Source organism: Homo sapiens, chromosome 3 (genome assembly GCF_000001405.40).
Source record: "Homo sapiens chromosome 3, GRCh38.p14 Primary Assembly".
Taxonomy (NCBI): Eukaryota; Metazoa; Chordata; class Mammalia; order Primates; family Hominidae; genus Homo; species Homo sapiens.
The window spans coordinates 141,799,910-141,820,899 of NC_000003.12; the positions used below are offsets into that span (position 1 = coordinate 141,799,910).

A 20,990-nucleotide genomic window follows, 5' to 3' on the forward strand; every position below is an offset into this window, starting at 1 on the left:
TTAGGTTTATCCAGTATCCTCATTAGTAACTTTAATCCTTAATGTCACTCACCTTTGAAATGTGCTCATTGGACGGGTGCCACACAGAGCAAGCTCGCAATAAATGTTGCTGAATAGAACTTACTGACTGCCACTGACTTAACTTCGTTTGGATGTTGTTTATAGTCTCTTTATGCCTCTGCCACCCCAGCAGAGTCATAAAGAACCAGACAGAAGCAGGACCCAAGAACATGAGGCCCAAAGGAGAGCTGTGGGAAGTGAAATACTATATTCAGGGAGACCCTCAGCTCCTTCCCATCTCAGTTCCCCAAATGAGAGCAAGCAGGCTGATACTTCTCAGGTGGGGTATGGAGATATCCCACCTGATCCCTCTTGTCAGTTGATAAGCTGGACTCCACATAGCTTATAGTCAGCTTTTTGGTGCTTCACTCTTAAATATGAATGACTAGACAAAGATCAATTGTCATTTGTAAAAAAAAAAAAAAAAAAAAAAAAACTCTTCAAAATGAAAGACAGAACCAAAACAATCAGAGGAAAAGAACTTGTAGAAAACAAGAACGATGCAGGGAATAGAAGAGACTATTTTTTAAAACTTGTAATTATTATCTTTTGAGATTAAAGAGAAGATAAGGCCTCCATGAAACAAGAACAAATGCTGTAAATCAAGGAACATTCAGAGAACAACAAGGACATTTGGAAATAAAAAATATGTAAATACATTTGCAGAAAAACATGGACAAATCTTAAAGATATGTTAAATACAATAAGTCAGACATGAAAGAATACATACTATACTGTACCATTTATACAACATTCAAGGACAGACAAAACTAATCTATAGTAACAGAAATCAAAAAGTGTTTGCCTGAGAAGTGGCGAGGACTGACTGGCAAGGGGCACAAGGGAACTTTCTGGACAGACAGAAATGTTTTATATCTTGTTTGGGTGGTATTTATGAGGGCGTATTTAATTATTAAAATTCATTGAGCTGAATGTCTAAGAACTGTACACGTTATTGTATATTAATTATGTATCAATAAAATCATATTGGCAAAACTGAAAAGTTAAGTAGAAGAATTAAGCCTCTATGTCTAGCCATCAGTTTACAAGAAATGCATGGGCCGGGTGCAGTGGCTCACACCTGTAATCCCAGCACTTTGGGAGGCCGAGGCGGGCGGATCACAAGGTCCTGAGATCGAGACCATCCTGGCTAACAGGGTGAAACCCCGTCTCTACTAAAAAATACAAAAAATTAGCCGGGTGTGGTGGCAGGTGCCTGTAGTCCCAGCTACTCGGGAGGCTGAGGCAGGAGAATGGCGTGAACCTGGGAGGCGGAGCTTGCAGTGAGCCAAGATTGCGCCACTGCACTCCAGCCTGGGCGACAGAGCGAGACTCCGTCTCAAAAAAAAAAAAAAAAAAAAAAAAGAAATGCAAAGAACAGAAGAACATGTTAAATGACACCACAGGAATGCAGTCAGCAAAATCTGACTGTGGGAAACTACAGTTTGGCCCCTTTTTTTCAACAAAAACTTGCTAGGTGGGGAAAAAAGACAGAGGAGGAGCCTATAAAAGAGATTTAAGAGACAATCATTGTATGAACCACATTTGATCCAAATTTAAACAAAAGTTTAATGATTGTTTAAATGATTGTATGATTTAAGTTTAAATTTTACTTTTAAAAGTTTATAGGACAGTTGGTATACAAATATGTCCAGATAATATTAAATAATTATTCTTATTTTTTAAATGAGATAATGTTATTGTAGTGCTTTGTTTTAGTGTGTTTTCTAAGTGACCTTATCTTTTAGAGATTCATAGTGAAATACAAATGATGCATGACTAGAATAGTCAGGAGAAGTGGGAAGGGACATAGATGAGACAATATTGGCCATGTGTGGATAATTGTTGAAGCCAGGTGAAGACTACTTTGGGTTTATTATTCTGCCTCTGTTTTGTATATATTTGAAGTTTCCCATAATAAAATACTTTTTTAAAAATAGAAGAATTGGGGAAAAAAATGGGGGAAGTTTCCCCCTATGCCCCTCAAAAAGAAATAAGAGACAAGAATGGACATTAGGAGCAAAAGGTAAGAAACATAAAGGATAAGTTCAATATTTCTGAAAAAAAGAGAAGAGACAAAATGCAAGGGAGAAAATGATCAAAGAAATACTATGAGAGGCTGGTTGTGGTGGCTCATGCCTGTAATCCCAGCACTTTGAGAGGCCAAGGCAGGAGGATCCCAGAACTAGCCTGGGAAACAGAGAGAGACCCCGTCTGTACCAAAGAAAAAAAAATTAACCAGGCATGGTGGCATGCACCTGTGGTTCCAGCTACTCAGGAGGCTGAAGTGGGAAGACTGCTTGAGCCTAGGAGGTGGAAGCTGCAGTTAGCCACGATTGAACCACTGCACTTCCAACCTGGGTGACAGACTGAAACTCTCTTTCTCTCTTTCTCTGTCACACACACACACACACACACACACACACATAGTGTGAGATAATTTCCCAGTGTAGACAGCCATTGGTTTCTGGATTGAGGGGCCAGCTGATAGCCATGATAGCCATGATAGCCAGCACCGTGGATGAAAAAAGCCCCACATCAAAGTATGTCCTTGAGAAATTTCATCATATTGGTGTACTGGACCACAAACCTCACATACCTTCCTACATTCCCTCTACTGCCTCCTTTTCTCTCCCTCTTGGACAGTTCTCTGTCAGCAGCATATCCAGGCTGCGTTGCCCCTCCACTTTCAGAGCTGGATAAAACATCATCTGGATAAAACATCATCCTGTGGGGTATGGAGCCTTATTTCCTGGGCAGCTGCTAATCAACTGGATGACATGTCGGCAATATAGCTCTTCGGATAATCCCTGAGCAATGGAAACGGGAGATGGGAAGGACTGGGCAGCTGCATCCCCCTCATCCACTCTCTCCTGTGCTTCCTCCTTGTGCCTCTTCCAGAAGACTCCCTTGTGCCTGATGAACCAGCAGCCAGCTGGGCATCACATCCCCCTTCCCTCACTCTCCTTTTCCCTTCTGCATATTCTATTATAAAATCTTCCAAGCATAGAGCAAAGTTGAAAGAATTTCAGAAAGAATTTCAGAAAAAATTCAGAAAGAATTTCACACGAGCACCTTTGAAATACCCATTACCTAGAGTTTATCACTGACATTTTTAACAGCTTTACTGAGATATAATTTAACTACTATAAAAACCATGCATTTAAAGTGTACTGGCTGGGCGCAGTGGCTCACGCCTGTAATCCCAGCACTTTGGAAGGCCAAAGAGGATGGATCACCTGAGGTCAGGAGTTTAAGACCAGCCTGGCCAACATGGTGAAACCCTGTCTCTACTGAAAAAAAAAAAAAAAAAAAAGCCAGGCGTGGTGGTGCACGCCTGTAGTCCCAGCTATTCAGGAGCTGAGGCAGAAGAATCGCTTGAACCGGGGAGGTGGAGGCTACAGCGAGCCAAGATCACGCCACTGCACTCCAGACGGCGACAGATGTCTCAAAAAAAAAAATTACTGGTTTTTAGTATATTTACAGAGGTGTGCAAACATTACCACAATCAATTTTAGAACATTTTCTTCACCCCCAAAAGAAATCCCATATCCTTCAGCAGTCACTTCCATTACACTGCTCTTCCACCCCTAAGCAACCATTCATCTATTTTCTGTCTCTATGGAATTGCCTATATTAGACACCCTGTATAAATGGAATCATGTAATACATGGTCATTTGTGACTAGCTTCTTCCATTTAGCATGTTTTCAAGGTTCACGAAGCATGTATCAGTACTTCATTCCTTTCTTCCCCTCTCTCCCCTCCCCCAAGACGGAGTCTTGCTGTGTCATTCAGGCTGGGGTGCAATGGCACCATCTCGGCTCACTGCAACCTCTGCCTCCCAGGTTCAAGCGATTCTCCTGTCTCAGCCTCCCAAGTAGCTGGGATTACAGGCACGCCCAGCTATTTTTTGTATTTTTAGTAGAGACGGGTTTTCACCATGTTGACCAGGCTGGTCTCAACTCCTGATCTCATGATCCGCCCGCCTCAGCCTCACAAAGTGCTGGGATTACAGGCATGAGCCACCACTGCCGGCTAGTACTTCATTCCTTTCTATGGCCAAATAATACTCCTTGTATATCATTAACATTTTACTAGATTTGCTTTATCAAATGTCCATCTATCCATCCTCTCTATCCATCCATGTAATCAATCTTACATCTTTTATTTTCGAGTAAACTCACTTCTCTTTTTTCCAAGCCCTTGCACCTTCAGCTTGCACACCTCTCAAATAAAGCTCATATCACTATCCTGTGTGCAAAGGAGGCTGGGAGAGATGTTGTCTTTAGTCATCTGGGATTTCGTGATAGAGGGAGGCAAAGGAAAAGGGAGACTGGGAATAGATTCTGCTACCTTAGCATACAGTTTCTCAATCCCATCTCCCCTCCCTCCATGGCATGCCCCAAATCATGTATTCTAGAAACACCAAATTCCTTAAAGCTCCCTCAATACCTTACACTTTTTCTGACTCCATCTCTTGCACATGCTCATTACCTGGATAGCCTTCTAGGTGTTTCCCTCATATTCAGCCAGCTGTGGCTCTTCAGTGAAGTATTCTCAACACACACACACATACACACACTCACATAACACACACATACACATACACACATACACATACAGGCACTCACACACGCATACACACGCTCATACATACACACACTCACACACATGCACATATACACACACATACACATGCACAGATACACACATACACACATGCTCTCATATACACATGCACATTCACACATACACTCACCCTCACATACACATACATATGCACACTCACATGCACACATACACACATGCTCACATACACGCACACATACACACATGCACATACAAACATGCTCACATACACTCACATGCACACATACACATACACGCTCTCATACACATGCTCACATACACTCACATGCACATTAACACATACGCATGCTCACACACACATGCATACTCACACATACACTCACATACACACATACACACCACACTCACATACACACACCCACTCGCACACACACATACACTCACACACACTCATACACCCACACACGCATACACCCACTCACACACACTCATATGCCCACACACACACACACACACGCACATACACTCACATACACACACAATCACATACACACACAATCAGATACACACACATGCACACACTGACCCCGTGGGCCCCCCTGCGCGTGCTCCACACTCTATTGAATCAACCTTCTGACCTGTCTGTCTCTACCAGTCTCTAAATCCTCAAGGGCAAGGGCCAGGCCTTACAGGTCTCGGTATCCCTGGAACTCATTGCAGGGCATGACTCAACAAATGTTTTCTGCGTAGTGAATGGAAAACATCTAGTCACCGTCTTTGTCGTTATTTATTTAAAAACATGGCATGCACCAGGTGAGGCCCTGTGATAAGTGCCTGGATTTGGAGACAAAGATGAGTAAGACTGTATCCTGGGCCTCAGAGGCGCCTACAGGACCCTTTTGTCTGGACAAATGCAAAACTGGACAAGACGCCAGGGCAACAGATGTAAACCGGGACTGTCCCAAGCAAACCGGAACATATGGTCACCCAAATTATATACCAGCTTCTCTGAAAACAGCACTGCCATGCTGACTCATGCACAGCCCGTTAGATCCTAGTCACTTCCAGAACTTTCTTGTTCAGGCCAATCACTCTTCATTAGTACTTGGATTATTCATGTTTTTTCTTGTTGTGATCCATGTAGAAATTATCCATGAAATTTCATATTTCTAAAGCATTACATTAAAAAATACTTAAGCAACTAGAAATAAAACACCTAATGCACAGCTCAACACTTTCTAATGTTTTCTTCATAGAGACGGGGTCTCACAAAGTTACCCAGGCTAGAGTGCTGTGGCTCGTCTATCGCACTACAGCCTCGAACTCCTTGGCTGAAGGGATCCTCCCATTTCAGCCTTTTGAGTAGCTGGGACTACAGGCACACACCACTGCATCCAACTTTTCCAACCTTTCCTGAAGTACTGAAATGCATAGTTGTAATCAGTGGGTGACAATCATTACATATATAAATTCCTTGGTATTAACAATAGACTCTGGTTTATCATCTTATTGATGGGCCTTTGGGTGTTTCCAGCTCGTGACCATTCTGAGTTAATGAAGTTATGAACATCTCAATATAGATTCCTTTTTCTTTCTTCTGAGTCTCTTCTTTGAGGTACATACTCCACAGTTAAATAATCTGGTTGAAAGACAGGAACAATTTGTTACCTTTCGTTTCCCATTGCTCTCTGTCATATCGCTCTCTGAAAAGTCCGAGTCGGCCAGGCACGGTGGCTCACATCTGTAATCTCAGCACTTTGGGAGGCCGAGGCGGGAGGATCACTTGAGGTCAGGGGTTCAAGACCAGCCTGGCCAACATGGTGAAACCCCATCTCCACGAAAAATACAAAAATTAGCCAGGCGTGGTGGCAGGCGCCTGTAATGCCAGCTACCTGGGAGGCTGAGGCAGGAGAACGGCTTGAACCTAGGAGGTAGAGGTTGCAGTGAGCTGAGATCAGGACCCTGCATTCCAGCCTGGGTGACACAACGATACTCCATCTCAAAAATATATATATATATATACACACACACATATATATTTGAGTAAATACATGTATTAAAATCAATGCAGCCATAAAAAGACAATTATTGCATGATTCCACTTATATGAGGTACCTAGAGCAGTCAAATTCATAGAGAGAGAAAGTAAAATGGTGGTTGCCTGGCGTTGAGGGGAGGAAGAATGGCAAGTTGTTTAATGAGTGTAAATTATCGGTTTTGCAAGATGAGTAGTTCTGGAGATTGGTTGCACAACAGTGAGAATGTACTTAACACTACTGAACTTACACTGCAAAATGATTTAGATAGTAAATTTTATGGGTAATTTACCATACACACAAGTATATATAAATAGATATGTCTTATATATAGAAATAAATATGTATGTATATATATAAAGTGAATATGTATATATATTTAATCTAATGATCATTTGGCATATATTGTCAGTAGAAGTGTGCCTATAATACATAGTCATGCATGTGAAATGAAATTTCATGTGTGTATGGAATTTCCTCAATTAAAATGACAGTGTTAATTATTCAGTGCAGAGACAGGCAGAGGTGTGCGATGTTAATGTTATTACATAGCACACAGAGTAAGAAACATGATAGACTAGACAACATATGAACATTTAATATTAGTAATAAAGTGCTCAACCTTAAAAAATCATATACATCTAATTTTCTATTATCTGTGAATTTTTAAAAAAGCAGAGCTTAGGGGATCTTATAGACATCCACTTGAACTTTTCATCTTAAAGATGAGGTGATGAGCCTAAGAGAGGTAACAGATTTTCCCACATCAGGAGCAGCTACGGCTTCCCTTTTCATGTGACCTTAGCCACCAACTCTTTATCTCATTGGCCAAAACGGGTCGCATGGCCTCCCCTGGCTGCACCCAAAGCTGCCGGGAAAGCAGCACAAAGAATAGGTTAGACACATTGCCACCCCAAACAAATTAGGGTTCCCTCAACAAGGGAAGAAAAGGAGAATGTGTATTAGGTAGGCAGTCAGCAGTGTCTGCTACACTCACCTTAGTGTCTTTGTTCTGTGTTGTCTTGTTTTTTGTTTGGGATGTTACAGGCTGGAACCAATGGTTACATGGCTCCTGAGATCCTAATGGAAAAGGTAAGTTATTCCTATCCTGTGGACTGGTTTGCCATGGGATGCAGCATTTATGAAATGGTTGCTGGACGAACACCATTCAAAGATTACAAGGAAAAGGTCAGTAAAGAGGATCTGAAGCAAAGAACTCTGCAAGACGAGGTCAAATTCCAGCATGATAACTTCACAGAGGAAGCAAAAGATATTTGCAGGCTCTTCTTGGCTAAGAAACCAGAGCAACGCTTAGGAAGCAGGTAAACTAGCATGTAACAGAGAGGATTGCTGACACCAGTATTGTCCACAGGGATTAGGAGAATACTTTTGATTTGTGGCAAAGTCTTGGAATTAAGTATTATGATTTTCTTATTTTTATTTGCATATTATATGGTTAAACATTTCTAATACTTTCAAACACTATTAGCACTTTCTATGGAACAATTTCCAAGATGTATTTTAAGGTGGAAAAGTGAGGTGCAAAGCAGCTTGCGTTAAAAAAAGAAAAAAGAATACATAATTCAAATGGTTGTATAGAATATTTCAAGGAATTTATAGGATTGGTTATGTCAGATGAAGGGAAATTGGGGGCTGGGGATGGGGATGCAAATAAGAATTTTCACTGTATCACCTTAGTTTCTTTTGCATCTGAACCATGTTGAGTAAATAAATGTATTAAAATCACATGCAGCCATAAAACAAAACAAATATTACATGATTCCACTTATATGAGGTACCTAGAGTAGTCGAATTCATAGAGACAGAAAGTAGAAGGCCGGGCAGGGTGGCTCATGCCTGTAATGCCAGTACTTTGGGAGGCCGAGTCAGGTGGATCACGAGGTCAGGAGTTCAAGACCAGCCTGGCCAAGATGGTGAAACCCCATCTGTAATAAAACTACAAAAATTAGCCGGGGGCGGTGGCAGGTGCCTGTAATCCCAACTACTCGGGAGGCTAAGGCAGGAGAATCGCTTGAACCCAGGGAGCAGAGGTTGCAGTGAGCCAAGATCAAGCCACTGCACTCCAGCCTGGGTGACAGAGTGAAACTCCATCTCAAAAAAAAAGAAAGAAAGTAAGTAGAACGGCAGTTTCCTGGGGTTAAGGGGAGGAGAAATGGGAAGTTGTCTAATGAGTATAAATTTTCTGTTTTACAAGATGAAGAGTTCTGGAGATTGGTTGCATAACAACGTAGTGTGAATGTACTTAACACTGTTACATTATCTATTCAAAAATAATTAAAACAGGCTGGGCACAGTGGCTCACACTGTGAGCCAGGCATGGTGGTTCACGCCAGCACTTTGGGAGGTTGAGGTGGCAGATCACCTGAGGTTAGGAGTTTAAGACCAGCCTGGCCAAGATATGGTGAAACCCCATGTCCACTAAAAATACAAAAAAATAGCCAGAAGTGGTGGCAGCCACCTGTAATCCCAGATAATCAGGAGGCTAAGGCACAAGAATCACTTGAACCCAGGAGGCGGAGGTTGCAGTGAGCCGAGATCGCGCCACTGCACTCCAGCCTGGGCAACAGAGCAAGACTTCGTCTCAAAATAATAATAATAATAATAGTAACAATAATTAAAATGAAAACATAAAACTACCAGTACTGATAGTCATAGCTCTGGAAAATTCTGTTCCTTTCAAATGTCTCCCGTAGGATATCATCAGTCCTTCAAAAAATATTTATGATATTGCCAACTGTTAAAATTGAAGCCAAGTTTCATTGTTTATGATAGAATAAGAAAATCAAGCTATTTTAGAAGGCCGGGCGCAGTGGTCATGCCTGTAATCTTAAAACTTTGGAAGGCCAAGGTGGGAGGATTGCTTGAGCCCAGGAGTTCAAGACCAGCCTAAGCAACATAGAGAGACTGTGCCTCTACGGAAAATACAAATATTAGCCAGGTGTAGAAGTGCATGCCTGTAGTCCCAGCTACTCAAGAGGCTGAGGTGGGAGGATCACTTGAGCCCAGGAGCTCAAGGCTGCAGTGAGCTGTGATCATGCCACTGTACTCCAGCATGGGTGGCAGAGCAAGACCCTGTCTCTAAAAAAAAGATACTATAGAAGAAAAAAAGACGTAAAAGTTGGCCTGTGAAAAGACCCTTGGCAGTGAGTGACTATGTTGTGTAGGGAGAAAATCAAGAGCTTTAGATTCATAGACATAGATTCATGTCCCAGCTCTGCTATAGACTGGTCATTTTACCTCAAGCAATTGAATTACTTTCCTTGAGTCTCAATATCCTCATATATAAAAAGGCGGGGGTTGTGGGTGTGATGGTTAATTTTATGTGTCAACTTGGTTAGGCCACAATACTCAGATATTTGGTCAAATATTATTGAGATATTTCTGGGCAGATTTTTAGATGAGATTAACATTTAAATCAGTAGACTTTGAGTAAAGTAGATTACCATCCATAATGTGGATAGGCCTGATCCAATCAGTTGAAAGCCTTAATAAGAAAAGACTGACTTCCCCAGAAGAAACGGTAATTCTGCCAGCAAACCACCTTTGGAGTCAAACTGCAATCCTTCCCTGGGTTTCCAGCCTGCTAAACTACCCTGCAGACTTTGGATTTACAAAGCCCTAAATTAAATCAATCAATCTCTCTCTTTCTCTCTCTCCCCCCTCTTTTCTCTCTCTCTCTCTCCCCATCCCTCCTTCCCTTCCTCTCTCCCTCTCTCTCTCTCTCGCCTCTTTTCTCTCTCTCTCTCCCATCCCTCCTTCCCTTCCTCTCTCTCCCTCTCTCTCTCCCTCTCAGAGACAGATTTATATGTGTACACTCACACATTGTCAGGGAGGAAACGCATTCTCTACCCTCTTACCCTCTCACATTCAGTTATTGGAGACCTACAAATTATTTATTATTATTATTAGTTTTTGAGACAGAGTCTTGCTCTGCTGCCCAGGCTGGAGTGCAATGGCACAATCTTGGCTCACTGCAATCTCTCAGCCTCCCAGGTTCAAGCAATTCTTCTGCCTTGGCCTCCCGAGTAGCTGGGATTACAGGCACCCACCACCACACCCAGCTACTTTTTGTATTTTTAGTAGAGACGGGGTTTCACCATGTTGGCCAGGATGGTCTCGATCCCACACACTTCACACACGGTTCTGTTGGCCAGAACTAGTCCTTGGGTCCTGCCTACGGGTAAGGGTGCTGACTAGTGTCTTCTGCGTGCCCAGGAGTGAGAATCAAATAGGATATGGTGACCACTGACAATCACTAACAATCTCTACCCTCATGATCTTCAAGTTCAGTGAGTATCCAAAGGTGCGGGAGCAGTGGCTGAGTCAGGAGGACAGTCTGTTTAGATGACTTCCCTGAAGGGAACAACACCCACTTGGATGCCTCAATTCCCACGTTTGATTTAAAATCTATCTTGGCCGGGCGCGGTGTCTCATACCTGTAATCCCAGCACTTTGGGAGGCCAAGGCGGGTGGGTCACCTGAGGTCAGGAGTTCGAGACCAGGTTGGCCAACATGATGAAACCCCCTCTCTACTAAAAAAATACAAAATATTAGCCGGGTGCAGTGGCGGGTGCCTGTAATCCCAGCTACTCAGGAGGCTGAGGCAGGGGAATAGCTTGAACCTGGGAGGCGGAGGTTGAAGTGAGCCAAGATCGCGCCACTGCACTCCAGCCTGGGCAATAAGAGCAAAACTCTGTCTCAAAAAAAAATTAAAAAAACAAAAATAAAATAAAATATATCTTAATACTCTATAAGCAGACTTTGGGTTTATAAAATGAAATATTAACAAATTTCATGAAAATGCTACCTTAAAGCACTGTAAACACTTTAAAGCACACTAAAGACTGGTCACTCCCTGAAGCTGCTTCCTCAAGCAAAGCCTTTTTAGTAAAGCATCTGTTGTTGTGACTGTTTTGAATAAGACTTTACAACATTAGAGGAAAGGCATATAAAAAACAGCTGTTCAGTGAAACAGAAAATCTTCCAACATTTTTTTTTCTTACGGCCTCTATAATTGCAGAATCTTCCAACACTTTTATTTCAACTCTTTATATTTTTAAAAAATTTAATCAAACGAGATCACGTTGGATTAATGTAGTGGGCATCCTCCAAGCCAAGGCAAATGCCTCGACAGCATGTTACACAGCAGAGTTCAAATGCTCCCTCCCTGTTGCCTTCTTAAGCATTTGAAATGAATTAAAGACCCTTCTCCTTTAGACATCACTGAAAAGGATTACCTTCTTTGCCTTTATGGGTCTGGGAGATAATTTTGCAGAGAAGCCAAAAGCTTTTCTGAGCATCTCCAGGGGCTCCAGATGGGATCAACTACAGGGTCTTCCAATAAAATAAGTGCTGAAGACCACTTAAGTTTTTGCAGGTTTTATTCTGATCAGGCAGTGCAGCAGAACAACAGCAAATAATCGTGAAAATCTCTGATTTAAGTGCTTCTCCAACAAACAATTTCATGGTTCTTGGCAGACCAAATTCCCTTGTGGGCCTCATGTATAGGCGGGTGGTATCTTTGCTTCATTGACTATTATAAGAAAATCCATTGTAATCTCTGTGTGGGGTTCCATAGTACGAGAGCCTCTGTTAATGCTCTGAAATATATTCCACTCCAATGAGCAGAAGTCCTCCCTGCAGCTGCCTCTTTGGCTGTTACAAAAGATACTGCCTCCAGCAACAGCCTCTCCTATTTGTTCAAAGTGTACCGCACAATGATGGGCCGAAAGAGCCCTGCACAGAACTGCCAGGGAAAGATGTAAGAGTGAAATAATCAGCCTGCTATTTTAATGACGGAACTGTGGTGGGAGTTGCTAATGCAAAAGATCAAAGACATCATTTTTGTGGTGGCCCAGCCACAAGAACAAGGAATAGAGATTGGAAAGCCCAGTCTTCACTGGTAGCAGCAGCACCCACAGACATTTCTTGGGAAAAGGTATACAAGGCATGAATCCTGCCCTCCAGGGGCATCTAGTTGGGTTGTTGAAGAACATAAAGGAAACCTCAGAGTGACCCATGGTTTCCTTGTCTTTTATAATTAGTTGCAAAAGGGCTGCAGTCAGCCACCCCTGATGGACAAACCAAGGCTCCCTGGGCATGGTGTGCTTGAGACGCCATGTGAGAACTGTTCATCCTGATGTAAAGACTGGTCTGGCAAGTCTCCCGAGTTACCAAGCTCCTGGGCGTCTCCATTTACTCATGTGAAAGCTGCTTAGACTGGGTTTTAAGGGCCCTTTTGACACCTGACACAGTGTGTTCAATTCATGCCCGCCAGTGATCATGGAAGTGATGCAAGATCTTCCCTGTGGCACCTAGTCCCATTCCAATGCCTTCATTCTCTTTGAGACATGCAGGTCTGGGGCTCATTCCTGATTTATTTGGATGGCATTCTAGCTCTATCCTTCTGCCATGTTTAAAAATCCATCTGATACCTTTAAAAGGTGAATATTTCTGTGTAAATTATACCTCAATAATCTGACTTTTAAAAAATCTGTTTGTTCGTTTGTTTGTTTGTTTTGTTTTATGAGAGAGTCTTGCTCTGTCACCCAGGCTGGACTGCAATGGCCCGATCTCGGCTCACTGCAACCTTTGCCTCCCAGGTTCAAGAAATTCTCCTCTCTCAGCCTCCCAAGTAACTGGGATTATAGGCATGTGCCACCACGCCTGACTAATTTTTGTATTTTTTAGTAGAGACAGGGTTTCACCATGTTGGCCAGGCTGGTCTCAAACTCCTGGCCTCAGGAGATCCACCCGCTTTGGCCTCCCAAAATGCTGGGATTACAGGTGTGAGCCATGGTGCCCGGCCTAAAAATCTATTTTTGAAGCTTCCATTTATCTCAGTAACTCTCCCTCAAGGCTCTTAACCTACAAGATGTAAACCACACAGACACTGGGGCAGTCGGTTCTGGTAGATGGCAAGCCTGCATTTTCTTTCTTTCAGTTGGTGGAGACTTGGTGGCTTTTAGAAAAGACACCCCTTGTAGCACCTTTTGATCCAGGTCTCCATACACAGTGGGAAAAGTCCAAGAAGTTCCGGATAGACCTTTCTGGAAGTGGGTAGGGCTGGGTCACAGAACAAGAACCCAAGGAATCACTGGATCATCAGATGCCTCCAATTAAGTTTCTCTTTTCATAATAAAATTTAATTATACATTTTCCTTTGAAAAAGTCACCTATTTACTCTGGCTTCCTCAGATGCACAGTTATTCATGAATGCAGAAGCACATAAAGGAGTCAAAAATACAGGACTTAGAGACAGGGCTGTTGTACTGGTTGAATGTAATAATATAAGTGAAGAGCTGAATGTTGTGTTAACTGACAGTAGGCCCTGAATAAATGTCAGTTATCCTCATTCTTGTTATTAGTTGTGCCATTATTGGGTGTTGCCTTAGTCGTCTTGCTGGGCAGAGTCTGTTGTAGTTATCATCTGACATAGTGGGGAATCTCTGAAAGGAATATATGGGGCAAGCTCTCAATCCTTTCCCAAAAAGCTTTTTGATATCTTGAATGGAAAATGTAAAGGAGAGACCATGAATATGATTAATTTCTAATTGAGGTTGACTTATGGCAGAAACTGACTTCTTTTAAAAGGAAGACATTTCTTTAAAAAAAAATCTTTTATTTTAGATTCAGGGAGTATATGTGCAGGTTTTTTACAAAGACATATTGTGTAATGCTGAGGTTTTGGATGCAATTGAATCTATCACCAAGTAGTGAGCATAGTACTCAATAGGTAGTTTTTCAACCCTTGCCACACCCCCAAAACATCTAGTAGTCCCCTGTGTCTGCTGTTCCCATCTTTATGTCCATGTTTACCCAATGTTTAGCTCCCACTTATAAGTGAAAACATGCGGTACTTGGTTTTCTGTTTCTATGTTAGTTCACTTAAGAAAATGGTCTCCAGCTGCTTCTATGTTGCTGCAAAGAACATGATTTCATTCCTTTTTATGGCTGCATATTATTCCATATTGTGTATGTACCACACTTTCTTTATTCAATCCACCATTTATGGACTCCTTAGTTGATTCCGTGTCTTTGCTATTGTGAATGGTGCTGTGATGAACATATGAGTGTATGTCTTTTAGGTAGAACAATTTATTTCCCTTTGGGTATGTACAAGTAATAGGATTGCTGGGTCAAATGGTAGTTATATTTTTAGTTCTTCGAGAACTCTCCAAACTGCTTTCCAGAATGGCTGAACTAATTTACCTTCCCATCAACAATGTGTAAGCATTCTCTTTTCTCTGCAGCCCCTCCAATATCTGTTTTTGTTTGTTTGTTTGGTTGGTTTGTTGGTTGGTTTTTTTTTTTTTTTTTTTTTAGAGACGGAGTCTCTCTCTGTCACCCAGGCTGGAGTGCAGTGGCACAATCTTGGCTCACTGCAATCTCCGCCTCCTGGGTTCAAGCAATTCTCTTGCCTCAGCCTCCTGAGTAGCTGGGACTACAGGCACACTCTGTCACACCTGTCTAATTTTTTGTATTTTAGTAGAGATGGGGTTTCACCATGTTGCCCAGGCTGGTCTCAAACTCCTGAGCTCAGGCAATCTGCCTGCCTTGGCCTCTCAAAGTGCTAGGATTACAGGCATGAGCCACCATGTCTGGTTGGTTTTTTTTGTTTGTTTGTTTGTTTGTTTGTTTGTTTTTTCTTAGTAATAGCTATTCTGACTGGTATGAGATGGTATCTCATTGTGGTTTTAATTGACTTTTATCTGATGATTAGTGATAATGAGCATTTTTTCATATGTTTGTTGTCCACTTGTATGTGGAAGATGTTTCTTAATCAGACCAGGAAATATATTCACATTTTTTAAAAGAAAAGAATCGTTTTGAATCTGATGCCACAAAACAGCCCACTTTTTATTTTGTTGCAACCTAGATTTAAGAGTAACCAAGAGGAGTATGGTAGGCAGCCCCTAAGATGGCTCCCAATGATCCCCACATCCTGGCATTCATACTCATGTATAATCCCTTTGCCTTAAGTGTGGTCTTCCTTCAGTAAGAAATAGAATATGGCAGAAGTGATGAGATGTCACTTCTAAGATTAGGTTATTAAAAAAAACTATGGCTTCTATTTTGAGCTGTGTGTGTGTGTGTGTGTGTGTGTGTGTGTGTGATCACTGGCCTTGGGAAAGCCAGCTGCAATGTTTCAAGACAGCCCTGTGGAGGCTCATGTGATACAGGATGGAGGCTTGACAATAACCACATGAGTGAGCTTGGAAGCAAATCCCCCAGCCTCAGCTGAGCCTTCAGATGAGACCACAGTCTCAGCCAGCAGCTTTACTGCAACCTCACAAGAGACTCTGAGACAGAGACACCCAGTTAAGCCATGTCCAGATTCTTGACCCTCAGAAGCTGTGACATAATAAATGTTTGTTGTTTTAAGGCACTAAATTTTGGGGCAATTTGTTACACAGCAATAGAAAACTAAATTAATAGTAGAGGTTACACAGTTGGGAACATACTTTTTTCTTTAGATACTCTAATAATTTCTAGCATAGAGATGGAGGGTTTGATAATAATAATCATAGTCTTGAGTACTAAATTTATACTACTGCAAATTACTAATGGATTTTGTTAAGTCTTTAAAGAAATAACACCAAGATTATTGTGGCAGTTGGGGAGGTAAGTGGGGCTTGTAGAAATCATATCATATTACCAATAAAGGGATATGAGTGCTGCCTTTTTAAATGGGAGTGGTGGTTGTGTGGGACAGAGATATGCTTAACTTGTTCTGTGTGACCCTGAAGAGGCAATGACTGGAAGCTGCAGGCAAGCAGGTGTGTTTCTACAGAACTTTCATAGTATTTCCATGAAACACCAAGAATAAAAGTCATGTCCAAAGCTTCACTGTTTAAAAATTGCATCTACAGGTGAAAGCTGTCTGCAAATAATGAGAATGCTACTGTCTACTTATACGGGAATTTGGGGTGATTTCAAAAGTTATTATTTTTCAGTTATTCTTTATGTTATTATATTGTCTTTGCAATTAAAATAAAATGTAAGAAAAGAATGCTACACACTTTGTATTGTTAGAACATGTCCCATTTTGTTTTGTTAACTCTGTCTCAGGCTGATCATCTCCTTTCTTCACAGAGAAAAGTCTGATGATCCCAGGAAACATCATTTCTTTAAAACGATCAACTTTCCTCGCCTGGAAGCTGGCCTAATTGAACCCCCATTTGTGCCAGACCCTTCAGTGGTTTATGCCAAAGACATCGCTGAAATTGATGATTTCTCTGAGGTTCGGGGGGTGGAATTTGATGACAAAGATAAGCAGTTCTTCAAAAACTTTGCGACAGGTGCTGTTCCTATAGCATGGCAGGAAGAAATTATAGAAACGGGACTGTTTGAGGAACTGAATGACCCCAACAGACCTACGGGTTGTGAGGAGGGTAATTCATCCAAGTCTGGCGTGTGTTTGTTATTGTAAATTGCTCTCTTTACCAGACAGGCAGCAGGAGTCTCGGCTGACATAATCCTCGAATGTTCCACACGTGGAAATCTGTGGAATGAGGGCTAATCAGTTAGGAGGGACATCACAACCACAAAACAATTCAAAAGACAGGCAAGCTCACTACTAGAACACATTTTATTTTCTTTTTCTTTCTTCATAAAGATGAGTAAAGTCTCAGTTTTCACTGAGGGCAGGGAAAAGGAACACTCAGGTTTATTTTGATAAACTGAAAGCATCAGCCTTTTACCATCATGTCCCTGTGTATTACGCAAAGTCCTAGGAACAGAGAATGGAACTTTGTGGTGTGCCCAGAAAATGAGCATTTGCAATTCTTAGTAAATAATCATTTTAGTTTTTCTTTGTTTATATCTTTTTTTCCCTTCATCTTTCTTCGCTTCTATACTTATAAAAAGGATTTTGAAGCTGGAAACAAATGTTTCTGACATTCTCCCCCTAAAAAGGAGTGGATTACAATATTTTGGCAATGTTTTAAATCACAGAATAATTTTCAATTTCAGTGACAGTTTCTTTTGCAATTTTGTGGAAATAATTTACTATCATAATGTTGAAGCATTTTAAACATAAACATCCATGACATCTGTGAATTAAAGCATTCTGTAAATTTAGTTGAGTCCTTTAAGTAATATGGTACAAATTGCTTCAACTTGCACTACCATATGCCATCGGTTCCCAAACTCTGCTGAACTTTGGAATCATCTAGGGATCTTTTAAAAAACTAATGCCTGATTCCCATCCATAGACATTCTGATCCCCACTCCCAGGTATGAGAACAGCTTGACCATTTAGAATTTCAGAAGCTCCCCAGGTGATTCTAATGTGCAGCAGAGTTTGGCAGGCACTGCTGTGCACATTTGAATGTTATTACATTCAATCTTATTTTGGTTGCTCAAAACTTCAATCATACATTTTGATGGCAACTTTTCAAATGTCCCCAAAGCATGTCATTTTAGTAATTGCAGTATAAATGAAACAAGACAGTCTATTCATCTTATGGCTTCTCTTGTCCTTGCACACTTTAGTTTCTCACACGTATCTTGGGAGCTCGGTCTCTTGGCTATTTCAAGTCCTGAAGGAGACCTATGGGCTTAGAAATTGAGTTGAACAGGCCAGGTGCGGTGGCTCATGCCTGCAATTCCAGCACTTTGGGAGGCCAAGGCAGATGGATCATGAGGTCAGGGGCTCAAGACTAGCCTGGCCAACATGTTGTAAACCCCGTCTCTACTAAAAATACAAAAATTAGCCCGGTGTGGTGGTGCACATCTATAATCCCAGTTACCCGGGAGCCTGAGGCAGGAGAATTGCTTGAACCCAGGAGGCGGAGGTTGTAGTGAGCCAAGATCGCAACATTGCACTCCAGGCTGGGCAGCAAGAGCAAGACTCTATCTCAAAAAAAAACAAAACAAAACAAAACAAAAAAAACAGAAAAGAAATTGAATTGAAAAAATACTAACCATCATTTCAAGTGGCTGCCCAGCCAACACTGTATGGTAGAATTAGCACTTCTCAAAAGCACAGCCAAGGTGAGAATTCTACAGCTGCGAAAAAATATTTGGGATACAAATATAAAGCTGAGTGATATTTTTTAAAAGGATGTATGTGCACATAATAAAATCTAAATTTATCCCAGTGGTAAAAAAAACCTGGCTGAAGTCAGTTTAAAAGTTTTGTCCCTTGAGTTAAGGATTCAAGAGCTGCAAAAGTGCCGGTCAAAAAAATGTTGGTTAACTGGAATCTGAATAACAGTAATACTCATCTACAAGACAGCATTAACCACACCTGGAACAAGTTAAGAAGAAGCCCTCTGAGAGTTGAGGCCTCGGCCGGTGCACCTGCGGCTCACTTTCCCGCTCCTCCTCCATCCTCAGCATGCTCCCTAATGCTCCAAATCCTAACCTAGGATGCTTAGATTTCTGTGTCACCAAAGCAGGATAGAAGTGTGCCCAGGAGATTTTTTTTTTTCCTGAAGTAAGAAAGTAAATTAAAGTTTGGTTAAGTTTTGAACAAGTCCCTTTTAACAAAAAAACTGATTGGTGATTAACAGAAATCCAATTAACCAGAGCACTCCAATGGTAGAGTTCTCAGGATTGGGCTTTATAGACGTTAGACATTTAAAAACAACATTGGTTATTTGTTGATTATGCCTTAAAGCTGGCAGAGGGACAAATGCAAACTAATAATTAAAGATAAATATCTCAGTTTTTAAAAGGACAAAAAATTTGGAGAGATAAAAAAATAAAAATGTCTTGTTGCATTGGTTCCTTAGTGTGAATTGCCTCTGCTTTCAATAAACTTTAAATGCAAATCTGTTTTATATCTTAGAACTAACTTAGGAAAATAACTGAATAAGTAGTTGTATTAATCCATTCTCACACTGCTATAAAGAAATACCTGAGGCTGGGCATGGTGGCTCACGCCTGCAATCCCAGCACTTTGGGAGTCCAAGGCAGGCAGATCACCTGAGATTAGGAGTTTGAGACCAGCCTGGCCAACATGGTAAAATCCTGTCTCCACTAAAAATATACAAATTAGCCAGGTGTGGTGGTGTGTGCCTATAATCCCAGCTACTAGGAAGGCTGAGACAGGAGGATTGCTTCAACCTGGGAGGAGGAGGTTGCAGTGAGCCGAGATTCAGCCACTGGACTCCAGCCTGGGTGACAGAGCAAGGCTCTGTCTCAGAAAAAAAAAAAAAAAAAAGATTAATCCTAGTTGTCCTGGAGGACTTGGAGCCACTGTCTGTTGGACTTACTTCACCCATACTGATATGTCTGATAGGGGTGGAGTTCAAGATCAGGCTAGAGAAAAACACGTAAAGGAAGTAATCTCCCAACTGACCTGGGTACATAGCACCCCTAGCCCCTACAAAGGACTAGATCTCTCAAAACTACATGAAACCCTCTGTACCCATACTCGCCTGGTAAGCCTATTTAATACCGCCCTCACTGGGCTCCATGAGGTCTCAGCCCAAAACCCTACTAACTGTTGGATGTGCCTCCCCCTGCACTTCAGGTCATACATTTCAATCCCTGTACCTGAACAATGGAACAACTTCAGCACAGAAATAAACACCACTTCCGTTTTGGTAGGACCTCTTGTTTCCAATCTGGAAATAACCCATACCTCAAACCTCACCTATGTAAAATTTAGCAATACTATAGACACAACCAACTCCCAATGCATCAGGTGAATAACTCCTCCCACAGGAATAGTCTGCCTACCCCCAGGAATATTTTTGTCTGTGGCACCTCAGCCTATCGTTGTTTGAATGGCTCTTCAGAATCTATGTGCTTCCTCTCATTCTTAGTGCCCCCTATGACCATCTACACTGAACAAGATTTATACAATTATGTTGTACCTAAGCCCTGCAACAAAAGAGTACCCATTCTTCCTTTTGTTATCAGAGCAGGAGTGCTAGGTGGACTAGGTGCTGGCATTGGCAGTATCACAACCTCTACTCAGTTCTACTACAAACTATCCCAAGAACTAAATGGTGACATGGAATGGGTTGCCGACTCCCTGGTCACCTTGCAAGATCAACTTAACTCCCTAGCAGCAGTAGTCCTTCAAAATCAAAGAGCTTTAGACTTGCTAACCGCCAAAAGGGGGGGGAACCTGTTTATTTTTAGGGGAAGAATGCTATTATTATGTTAATCAATCCGGAATCATCACCGAGAAAGGTAAAGAAATTTGAGATAGAATACAACATAGAGCAGAGGAGCTTCAAAACACTGGACCTTGGGGCCTCCTCAGTCAATGGATGCCCTGGATTCTCCCCTTCTTAGGACCTCTAGCAGCAATAATATTGTT

The 20,990-nt window shown here is 41.7% G+C and overlaps 1 protein-coding gene across 2 annotated transcripts in view; it reads left to right on the forward strand.

Moving 5' to 3' along the window:
- Positions 1–19,443, forward strand: part of GRK7 (G protein-coupled receptor kinase 7) — a 69,369-nt gene extending 49,926 nt beyond the window's left edge. Inside the window, exons 6-7 of one of the 2 annotated variants that reach the window (XM_047447449.1) lie at positions 7,736–8,010; positions 16,805–19,442. In XM_047447449.1, coding sequence (XP_047303405.1) covers positions 7,736–8,010; positions 16,805–17,141 — 612 coding nt within the window. In that variant the 3' untranslated portion in view covers positions 17,142–19,442. Of the gene's footprint in view, positions 1–7,735; positions 8,011–16,804 lie in introns of both variants that reach the window. The other variant, NM_139209.3, reaches the window with a different exon arrangement.
- The last annotated feature ends 1,547 nt before the right edge of the window (positions 19,444–20,990 follow it).